The 12,323-nt window shown below is 32.6% G+C and overlaps 1 long non-coding RNA gene across 1 annotated transcript in view; it reads right to left on the reverse strand.

The window, feature by feature from the left end:
* Positions 1–982: 982 nt before the first annotated feature.
* LINC00448 (long intergenic non-protein coding RNA 448) overlaps positions 983–12,323 on the reverse strand; it is a 135,075-nt gene continuing 123,734 nt past the window's right edge. The window contains exon 8 of the long non-coding RNA NR_047029.1: positions 983–1,156. This is a non-coding gene — a long non-coding RNA (long intergenic non-protein coding RNA 448). The remainder of the gene's footprint in view (positions 1,157–12,323) is intronic.

Consider the following 12,323-nt stretch of genomic DNA (forward strand, 5'->3'; position numbering starts at 1 on the left):
ATTAGAATTTCTGACCAGATTATAATGCTCTTACATAATTTGTTAAATGGCTTATGTCAACAGGACAAAAAAACATGGATACAGATAGAAATGTTTGGCCTCTTTTAGTGTTTGAGTAACTATTGTATGTTGGTAGCATAGCTCAAAGGAAAACAATACCTACAGAATCCTCTCATTTGAGCCTCTCTAATGTATATGGCACTGATCTTTAGTAATCATTCAATATAAGCAGGATGATATCCTGAAAGGCTAGGAAAATTACAAAGTCTTAATAAACCAAAATATATCATAACGGAATTGTCTTAATTCAGTTCATCAAATAAGTAGTCACTTCCATGTCTTTCAGATATTCCAATATAACATTAATGTGTAACTGAAAGCTACAATTTTCATTGTGATTACTCTCTATTGATTGTCCACTACAAATAATAGTTTCACATCATGTGGTTATAGTTATAGTTCATATAAAATTGCACATAATTTTATTATTAATGTTATTTTGTCTACTTTTCAGGTAAGGTAGAATCATTGAAAAATAATTAAATGTAAAATTTGAATCTAAACATCACCAGGGTAGAATTATTATTAATAATTTATGTTTTTATCTTTTCTTTTTGCTTTTTTGCCATTTTCAAAATTTTCTAAAAATTTTGCTATTTTTGAAATCAGATTGTATATTTTGAATTAGTTATTTCAAAATCTTCCTTTTAGGTTACTAATAAAATAAACAAAATAAAAAAGATAAATATTTTAAAAAATATTTTTAATTAAAAAAAGAAGCAGGTTGTCCAATATAAAATTGAAAGATAAAAAATATAATTGCTAAAACTCTGTTATAATAAAAAAGACTTGTAGAATAAAATAAAATCCAGTCTCTGCATTAACAAAGAATTGTGTGTAGTAAAATCTTTTTAGCCAGTGTATAAATAACTGTATAAATAATCTAAATTGTTTATTACAGATATAATTGAAAAGTATTTTGTAAGTTTTAACCAATTTAATTATACAATTCAAATTTGGAGTATAGACAAGGATTGAGACATATACTATTATTGGAGGTGGAAGGCAGGAACAAATGGTGAAGCTAAAGAAGGCCAAGTTTCTCTTCCATTTCAAGAATTCACTTTGGTAACGTGTTTACACTCTTTATTCTTATCTGAAATTGAATGAAGACAGGCCCACAAATTAATTTCACAAATATTCTTTCTAAAATTATGTTTATTAATTCATTTACCTGTTCAGGTTCTATTGTATGTAATTTCTGGAGAATTATATATTTTTGGTTGGTATATGTGTGAGTCTCTGAATAGATAGGCACACCATTTATGTCTATCACATATAAATGAGGTGCTTGCCTGACTACAGAACCCTCAGATCAAAAAATTTTGCCCTAAATTCCTTAGTGATTGATAGATTGCCTAAATTTTCTTCCAAGGTTTTTATAGTTTTGGGTTTTACATTTAAGTCTTTAATGCATCTTGAGTTAATTTTTGTATAAGCTGTAAGGAAGGGATCCAGTTTCAATTTTCTGCATATGGCTAGCTAGCCAGTCCTCCCAGCACCATTGATTAAATAGGAAATCCTTTCCCATTGCTTGTTTTTGTTGGGTTTGTCGAAGATAAGATGGTTGTAGATGTGCAGTTTTATTTCTGAGTTCTCTTTTCTGTCCCATTGGTCTATGTGCCTGTTTTTGTACCAGAACCATGCTGTTTTGCTTACTGTAGCCTTATAGTATAAGTTGAAGCCAGGTAGCGTGATGCCTCCAGCTTTGATATTTTTGCTTAAGATTGTCTTGGCTATGCAAGCTCTTTTTTTGTCCCATATGAATTTTAAAATAGGTTTTCTAATTCTGGGAAGAATGTCAATGGTAATTTAATGGGAAAAGTATTGAATCTATAAATTGCTTTGGGGAGTATGGCCATTTTCACAATATTGGTTCTTCCTATCCACGAATATGGAATGTTTTGCCATCAGCTTGTGTCCTCCCTGATGTCCTTGAGTAGTAGTTTGTAATTCTCCCTGAAAAGGTCCTTCACTTCCCTTGTTAGCTGTATTCCTAGGTATTTTATACTCTTTGCGTCAATTGTAAATGGGAGTTCATTCATTATTTGGCTTTCTGCTTGTCTGTTGTTGATGTATAGGAATGCTTGTGATTTGTGCATATTGATTTTTGTATCCTGAGACTTTGCTGAAGTAGCTTATCAGCTTAAGAAGCTTTTGGGCTGAGTCAATGGGGTTTTCTAGATATAGGATCATGTCATCTACAAACAAAGACAATTTGACTTCTTCTCTTCCTATTTGAATACAATTTATGTCTTTCTCTTGCCTGATTGCCATCTCATGCCAGTCTGAATCACGATGATTAAAAACTCAAGAAACAGCAGATGCTGGTGAGGTTGAAGAGAAATAAGAATGCTTTTACACTGTGAGTAGGAATATAAATTAGTTCAACCATTGTAGAAGACAGTGTGGCAATTCCTCAAATATTTAGAACTGGAAATACCATTTGACCTAGCAATCCCATTACTAGGTATATACCCAAAGAATATAAATCATTCTATTATAAAGATACATGCATGCGTATGTTCACTGCAGCACTATTCACAATAGCAAAGACATGAAATGAACCCAAATGCCCATCAATGATAGACTGGATGAAGAAAATGTGGTACATATATACCATGGAATACTATGCAGCCATAAAAAGGAACGAGGTCATGTCTTTTGCAGGGAAATGGATGAAACTGGAAGCCATTATCCTCAGCAAACTAATGCAGGAACAGAAAACCACACACTGCATGTTCTAACTTATAAGCAGAAGCTGAACAATGAGAACACATGGACATGGGGAGGGGAACAAAACTAACTGGGGCCTGTCAGGGAGTGTGGGCAGGGGAGAGCATTAGGGAAAGAGCTAATGCATACTGGGCTTAATATCTACATGATGGGTTGATCTGTGCAGCAAACCACCATGACACACGTTTACCTGTGTAACAAACCTGAACATTAAAAAATTCCATAGTGATTGCTTCATTTTCTTCTGAAGTTTTGTGATACAGAAAAGCAATTACCAGTTTGAAGAAAATGAGATTTTTTGTCCAAATTTTTGTTATTCTTGAAACTCAAAAGATGGCAGGATTTTTTCTAAAGCAATACTTGTTGGCTGTTTTTTTTTTTTGTTTATGCTTTGTTTTTTATTTTCTTTTCAAAAATCAGAATCAGAAGTTTAATGTACATATTCAGGATGTTTTTAACTCAGTAAGCGCCTGGCCATGATGGATAGTATGACAGTTATTTTCAAGATTTTATGTTCTTCTTCAACTGCTCTATCTCCTTTTCTTCTATTACCATTTTACAAATTTTCTTTCTTCTTATGGCTTTTTTTTCCCCAGATTCAAGGAGATTGTGTATTCTTTCAACATAGTAGCTACATAAACTTATAAAGTTGTTTTTTTCAGTTTTCATTAACAAATTTTTTAAAATATTTGTTTGCCCTTTCATTTTTTTTTAATGTATTCTCCAGCTGTAGTTTCCAAAGGCAATAAAAGTTTTGAAAACAGGAATCAAGGACTACCAATAGTATAGGGGGTGCAAGCTGCTGTATATCAAACCCAGTGCCAATATCAGCAAGCAAGCTACTGAGTCTGGTGCCCAGAAGTGGCAGCAGGTTCTTTTGTCATGTGAATTTGTTGTCATTCAGATGTTACAGCTCCAAATCTAATTATCTACCAATGATACTATAAGTTATGTATAATTTTACTAACAAACATATTTTGTCCTAGAATTGTTCAGTTTCTGTTTATGTCATTTCTATCTGAGATCTAACTCAAAATAGGAAATCAGAATTATTTGCTCCTTGGCCTCTTTTGTTTATTTTCTCATGTATTCTGTGTTATATATCTTTGACTTACATTCTCATATATAATTTTATGGATGATATATTATTGCTACCATTTTAAAGATTTGTTAGCTACAGCTACCTTTCTTTCATTTTTTCTGTATTTTTTAAAATAATCATTGTTATTCTTTAATCTTTTTAGATAAAATTTTAATTGTTAATGTTTATATATAATTCTCCTCAACACACAAATTCTGAAGTTTTTTCTGGTCAGGAGGTAGATATTTTATATAAAGAAAGCCCCCTAGAATAATATCACAGGCCCTTCTGGAAAGAATATGACCAGGTGCTTTCTCCATGGTAACTGTCCCAAATAGAATTTCTATTTACAGAGACCCTATCTGTTCAAGATAATTCATATTAGTTGAGCTCTAGTCTAATTTATATGAACTGAACTGATTTAACCATTTATTGTCCTTTTAAGTGCCTTTGATTTCTGAGCCCTATATATTTATTTTTGTCAGTTCATTTATTTTTTTATTACACCTCTGAGCATTTCTCCTCACGTTCCTAATATTTTATACTGTGGCCTTACTTACAACTTATTTCATTGGCTGTTCTTCCCAAATACGTTTTTAAGCTTGCAATTCAGCCATTCCAAATGTGCTTTAATACTCACCTGCATTTGACTGTTCTAAATTAGCCAAATTACTCTCTACTTTTTCAATTATTTCTGATAGTTGTACTTATTATTTTATTCAACACATGTATAATAAATTCCCATTCTTCTAATTAAAGGTGATGATTACTTTTATTCAAAATTAATGCAACATTATATGGCAAGAAAAATGCCCATACTATTAATAGGCACTAAGCATACATTGTGGTTTCTTTAATAGCCATGTGGGAAATTTACACTGTTTTTTTTTTGTTTATAACCATAAATAAATTAATTAATGTGAACTAACACTGGCTCTGAAGAGATAGAATTTAATCAAACTCCATTATCCTATTAGTATTGGTAAAGTTTGAGGAAGCTGTTTGAGTCTTATTAAATTCTCAAAGCTCTGTGGTTCCATACCTCTGAAATGGTAATTAAATTGATGGAAAACATTCAATCTTGATTGTAGATTCCTTTATATTATTTAAAGTTTTAACCAAGAAAACCACATAATAATGAATTATACAATAAAGTTAAATAAATGCCAAGAACATTTATTTTTTAAGGTACAGAATTATATCATTGATTATCCTTTTTGTCCTTGCCTCTGTGATCTCTATTTTCAACAAATAACATATCAACCAGATTGATCCTTCTAAATGCCAATAGATCTCATTATTCACCTACTCAAGATTCTCCAGTGCACTTCCATCATTATCAGATTAACAATCAAATTCTCGATGGTCTATGAAGCCCTTTATGGTCTTTCACCACTCTCTCTTTCTCTCTCTACTTTAGGCATACTATCTTTATCACTATTTCTTTAACATGACAGATCCTACAACAAGGTCTTTTCCTTTGCTATTCTCTCTTTGCTTTTTCTGAAAGCTCTTCCTTCAGATAGACTCATCAGCATAATTTATATCTTAATCTCATCAGGGCTTTGTTCAAGTTTTTCATAATTTGTAGAGTTCTATGTACTTCGGAAAATACAAAGTCATTGGGATTTTCTCTGGAAGAGAGTTTTATTCATTCTGTTTCTTCCATGGAGAGAATCATCACAGAACCCTTTCATCCTAATCTATGTAGTTTGACTTCAGGTTTTGCCTAAAAATTGAACCTAGGGTATTTGAAAGGTTGAACATTTTTTGAATAAAGATAAAGGGTTGCCTATATACATTAGCTAAATACAAAATAAAGAACTGTTAAACACATATAACTTTAACAAAATAAAAGAAAAATGACTAGAGAGATAGTGCTATATAGAAGAGAAAAGAAAGCTGCTACAAAGATGGTGCATCATTAGCCAGGAATAGTGGTGCCTGCCTAGAGTCTCAGTTACTAGGGAGGCTGAGGCTGTAGGATCACTGGAACTCAGAATTTCAAGACCAGCCTGGGCAACATAGTAAGACCTTGTGTCTAAAGAAGACAAATAGATTGTGCGACAAAAGGGGTGTGAACAATAAAGTAGGTTTTTCATAGGACCCTTGAGAGATCCAGGTGCCGAATGTTGTTTTCAAAGGATGAGTAAAATAGTAGCTGAAAAAGTAATTTGAAATTTTTAATATTGAAAACTTGTCCCCTCTCTATAACCAGTGTTCAAGAAATTGGACTTCTATACCCCTAGGTAGTAGATAACGAGTGTTATTGGGAAATTTCAGCAACCCAAAGGACAAGATTCCAAGCTTTGGTATTTTAGAGTTAATTAACCTAAAGCAAAACTTGCTGATTGACAGGGACATTAAGTTACTAAGTTCCTAATTGGTTTTTTTTGTGTGTGTGCTATTTTATTCTTATATACCAACAGTTAACTCATGATAACCAGACAGTTTAGGAAAGTTTGCAACACAAAATAACGAAGGATGATATCAAAAAGTAATTACCCTAGAGGAAACAGATAACCCATGAAATAAAAGAAAATTTAGACAAATATCACTCTAATTAGGATGTTCAACAAATTTCCAGGAAACACTGTATCTATCATAAAGAGAATGTTTGGGGAAAAATCTGAGAAAAATAAATCTGGAAAAATATAACTATAGATATTTATGTGAAATAACTGGGAACTGTAGGAAAATTAAGTTAAAACATCTCCCAGAAAGTAGGGGAAAAAAGAGAGAAGTAAAAAGCATGAGCAAAAATATAATATAGAGAAAATTTTCAGGAAATCCACCATCTGATTTATACAATTCTCTGTAAATTATAAAAATAGAGAAAATTGAAGGAAGAAAATCTGCAAAACAATAGTGGAAATCTTCAAGAGAAAAATTATAGTACTCTCCAGATCAGATTTTATACATTAAATAAACATGCACACACATCTCAAGGTATATTTTCATGAGATTGTAGTAAAATTGGAGAAATACACCTAAAAGCTGCTAGACAGATAAACAAAACAAAACGAAACCAAACGGGTTATCTACAAACAACATGGCCTCTAACTTTTTCAAGAACTATGTTAGCCATTGGAGGGCAAGGGAGCAAGGCTTTCACGTTTCTCAGGGATGCTCTCTTCAACTCTTAAATGTGTAATTTCCTAAGCTATCAATTGATTAAAACACTATAAAACATTTTTCAGAAATGCCAGGACCTCCCACACACCCGCTCCTCTGAAATTATTGGCATCTGTTTTAAGGAAGACCTGTAATTGGGACTGGAGTCAAAGGCAGCCTCAGGAAAGGTGGTTCACAGCAGGAACAGAGGGCAAACAGTTTAGATGAGGCAGGAGAGCGAAAGAGTGTGTTTTAGGAAGAAGGTGTCAAGGGTCAGACTTAATAAAATACCGGCGATGTAACTTAAACATTTCTAAAAGTTCAAATGAGGAGATACAATAAATAAATAATGCAAAGACAGCAAAAGACAACAAAAGCCTATTAAAAATGCAATTAATAAAAAAATAGAAAAGCCAAACTGCAATTATAACACAGTAATATTTCTAAAGGCATGCATAATAACATAAATTTAAATTTAACTAAAATATGGCTAGAAAAATACTGAGAAAATTCATGACAGGTCTGATGGGTAAAGGAGGGGAAAAAGTAAAACAACATTTAGTCCCTTATAGCAAGGTGGCAATAATAAGGTCTAACACGAGTATTAAACAACACAATGCACATATTAAAAACATGAAGGTAACTGCTGAACAATGTTTAAAAGTGAGCATATTTGAGAAGCAGGGATGGGGTGAAGGTGGCATTGGGAGTATGGGGAAATAGGTGAGTAACATTTTTTACTATATTCTTTTGGTACTTCTTAAATTTTTTTTGCTAAGTTATGAACTATTTTGATTAAAGTTTTTTTTCCAGTTTAAAGAAGCATTAAAATATCTGATATGGTAGGACTCTATTGATTTTTATGGACTTGCAGAAGTCAGGATTTACTTATAAGGTTATCTTCATTTTAGACAACAAAATACTACCACAAATACATTAGAAAGAGACATTTTAGCCTAGCGAAATAAAACAATGTCTCTCTCTCTCTCTTCGTCGTGCTTTTGGCTCTGAAATTCACTTTACCTGACTTTATTTGGTTTGATTATTTCTACTCCCACTTACCATTTGTTCATTTTTTGCAGTATTTCATTCCTATCTTTTTTTTTTTTTTTTGAGACGGAGTCTCACTCTGTCACCCAGGCTATAGTGCAATGGCAAGATCTTGGCTCACTGCAACCTCCACATCCCCAGTTCAAGGAATTCTCCTGCCTCAGCCTCCCAAGTAGCTGGGATTACAGGTATGTGCCACCACACCTTACTAATTTTATCTTTTTAGTAGAGACAGAGGTTTCACCATGTTGGTCAGGCTGCTCTCGAACTTCTGACCCTCATGTTATCCACCTGCCTCAGAGCCCCCCAAAGTGCTGGAATTACAGGCGTGAACCACCACACCTGGCCTCATTCCCATTCTTTTAACTTTTACGTTTCTTGTCATTTTGTACTTGATGTGTCATTAATAAACTGCCAGATTTTGTTTTGTAACCACTTTGAGATGCTTCAGGTTTTTGTATTTTATAAGAAGAATTTAAATCATTTGCATTTATGGTGATAAATAATCTATTTGGTTTTATTCCTTCTCTTCATTTTGGTTTTACTATTAATTATTTATTGTTGTATTTTCATTTTACTCTTTCATCATGCTTGTTTTATTGGTTATGTTTCTTTTCCTTCTCTCTCTCCTGTTGATTTCAACTTACTAGTTGTCTGAAACCCTTTTGGGCCACCTTGGCATCTTTGCTCTTTACCTGCCAAAGCTGGAAACTTGGCTGTCCCTAGCCAGCCTCCAGAAGGTCTGTGGTATCAGCTTGTGAGACCCACAGAGATTCCATCTCCCTCCACATGCATACATGAGTATTTCTGTGTCAAAAACCATAGGAGCAGAAAGTATTACAAGATTTTTGTTTTTTCCATAGGATGTTTCCTTTGGGAAATTATTTTTTCTTTGTATAGACTGATTTTTAATGAATATTTTTAGTTTTAGGATGGAGTAGCACATGTAGGTGTGGATATGGGAGTGTGAATATTCTTTTCTAAAATTGCCTTCCTAAAGGAGATGGAGATCAGAGGATGTTGATTTCAGAAACGACCTAGAGGCGTATCTTCCTCTGATGTTCGCACCAGACTGTAAAAGGAACCAGACTGAAACTTCCAAAGTTCCATTTACACTGCTTGGCTGATTCCCATATGTGGTATTACTGAGGATGGAATATCTTATTCTGTGATAAAGATTCTCCAGCGAATTGTACAGTTGTGGAGGTTTTCAATGGAGGCCAAATAGGACAAGGCCAAGATCAGTGGGTGGGAATTAGTCTGATTTTAATTTTTCTTCATGGGAGTAAGTGCACAGAATATAAATCACCCTGCCTCTCAGAAGGTGAGTATTAAAGTGTTAAAATACTGGGATGTGGAAGAAAACCACCTGTGAAGAAAAATATTGATCATCTGTGCGACCTTGAACAAATAACATAAACTTTCTTTGCCTCAGTTTCTTTATCTGTAGAATATTGGTAATATTTTTGCCTATTCATGGAATTGTTATGCAACTTAACAAATAGTACCATGTGATGTGATTACAACAGGGCTTGGCACATTAATAATATATTTTAGCTGTCATTTATTCTACAAATAAACTCTACTATGTTCTATACTATGCTGTCTATCCTGCAGAACTTCTAATTGCATATATTAGTATTTTAGTTTTTAATCTTTGATTTTTCCATCTTCAAGTTTTATTTAACTGTTACCTTCTCAATGAAGCCTCTCCTGACCACTTTTTAAAACTACATCTCTCCATGTTGTTTAATCCCTTCTCCTCCCTTAATTTTCTCCTTAGTATTTAATACCTTGTAGTATACCTGCCTTATAATGTTATTTTACTTAACTATGTATCTGCTTCCACTAGAACAATGATCTGTTTCTGTGTGGTTTGCTACTGTATTTACAGTTCCTAGAATATTGATTGATTCAAGTTCCTAGAAATTGAGCAAAAGAAGTCTTTTTAATTTACTTAAATTATTAAATTTTAATCCTGAATTTATTCCTGAAGAGTCTTATCTAAAAGTAGAAATGAAGGGATCAATAAAAGGCAACTGATTTCAGGGCAAATACAAGAGAAGAAAGCTGTTAATGTTTATATTTTGAATGATTAGAGATTAGACTCTAGACATGAATGAATGAATGATGTTAGAAACTGGGGTCTGTTATTCATTAGGAAACTCATGTGACTCCTAGACTATGGATTCAGAAAATGGTCAGATTTAATATATGGCATTCACTTTTTAAATTAATTTTAATTTAATTCATGTATATTTATCTTGTAATGTTTGCTACATACAGAGTTCTTTATATTATTATCTCCTGGCCTTTATTCGGTGTTAAGAGATGTGTCTTCCTGTAGCAAATCAGTGCAGAGTGAGCCACAGCTGCTGACATGCAGCAGGACTCAAGAGGGAAAATGGTGAACTTCAGAAATGTAGAGAATTTATCATAGAACAAGGTGAGATGAGGTGACAACCGAGATGGGTTTTTGGAACTTGTTAGCCTTCCCTTATTCATAAAGTTAACTTTGGCAATTGTTGCCCATCTGTTGTATGGAGTCCAAGAGCCACATTTTGCTTCTTGTTGGTCAACAGCATTTCAAATTGAAGCACTGAGAGACAGGATCACATTTATTGCCTCTGAGAGAGTTCTTCTTAAGCTTTATACTTTTCTTTGGTGAAATTCCTGCCTTGTGGCTACAGGGTTCCAAATGTTGTCTTGTATCTTATACTATTTCTGCCTTGTATTCTTGTGTATCTATCTTGTGTTCCTTAGTTTGCATTCCTGAAGCCAGTTCAGATTAACATGAGAAAAGTTTTCTTATCATAGGATATTAGGAATAAAGCATATGTATAGATATATATAGATTCATGTATTTACTTAAGGAAAATGAACAAATGGAAAAATGCTAGAAACATTTTGTTCTAGAAAAAGCAAGTGGTTATAACAACAATGGAAAATTTAGGAAAAAACTTTAAATTTTGAAAATGAATAAAAACTAGAATGTACATTTTTAAATCTCTGTGGACCCAGAGGAAATATCATACTGGCACAAATCTTTCATTTAAATTGTTGAAAATATAATTGCCAAAGTTAGTCACAGAACTGGATTAGTCCTAAAACTGTAAGAGTGGTTCCTGTCTAGACCATATAAAAATGAAGTCATGTAGTAAAAGAGAAGAAAAAAAGGGAATATTGGCCAATCAAGGAGAAAAAGCAAGCAAACAACAAAAAAGTGAAAGATTTATGTCTTTTTTGAACTTCGGAATCCTTAGGAGAAAGAAGAGACAAGACATTTCTTATTAGTTTTATATTAAGGAATATTAGAATACCACATTTTATATACTATATCAATGTAATATGAAGAAAACATAAAAGCACCAATCACTATATGATTAGGCAGCTTTCCCGTAATAGCAAGTTGTTCATAAATTCAGTTTCATATAGTTTTTTCTTTAATTTCTTGCGTTGCTTATCTTTTAATTAATTTCATAAAATGTAACTTTCAACCTACCAGTGTCTTCTGCATCCTTTATTGGATATTAAATTACTTTTAAAGTTTTGCATATAAATACATATGTATTTGAATACGTACACATATGAAAATAAATCATTGTAATCACTAGTTGCAGCCAAGGCTAAGTATAGTAGAAATCATTAGCCTCAGGTTTAAATAACTGTCAATGAGAAACACTGAGTAAATGATGTGTTGTTGATACAGTTGTTTCCAAAATTCATATACGATTAGTCATTATATTTCATGTGGTAAGACACTAATATGTTAGAAAATATTTTTTGACCAGAATCCGTAAAATGTAAACTAAAAATATACTTTGATCTAGTTAATAGAGTTGAATTTCTATCTTTGTGTACTAGAAATGAACAAGTAACTCTTGTAAACTTCAGAGAGTTGTTTGAATATTTAATTCCCAAGTAATAAAATTATCTGAAAGTTTTCCTTCTCTCATGAAACAAATGCAACTAAAAATTTAAAGTTGCTTATGTAAGTTCAACTTAAAACACGAGACAGCATATTATTACACACAAAATATATTTAATCATATATTTAACTATACAATAGTATATAGTTCCTCATATAATTGTTTTTCAGAATTCTAACATTTACTAGAATTGGCATATTTAACTATCACAGCAACCTTAGGAGGTAGAAAATACTAAAGCTGAGGAAGAGGTATTTTACATAAATTTGCCGAGGTCATACAACTAGTGCAACATAGTCAGGATTCAAAGCCAGGTGGTCTGACTCCAGGACTGAAAATATTAATCATAATGC

The sequence above is a fragment of the Homo sapiens genome, chromosome 13, assembly GCF_000001405.40.
Source record: "Homo sapiens chromosome 13, GRCh38.p14 Primary Assembly".
NCBI lineage: Eukaryota > Metazoa > Chordata > Mammalia > Primates > Hominidae > Homo > Homo sapiens.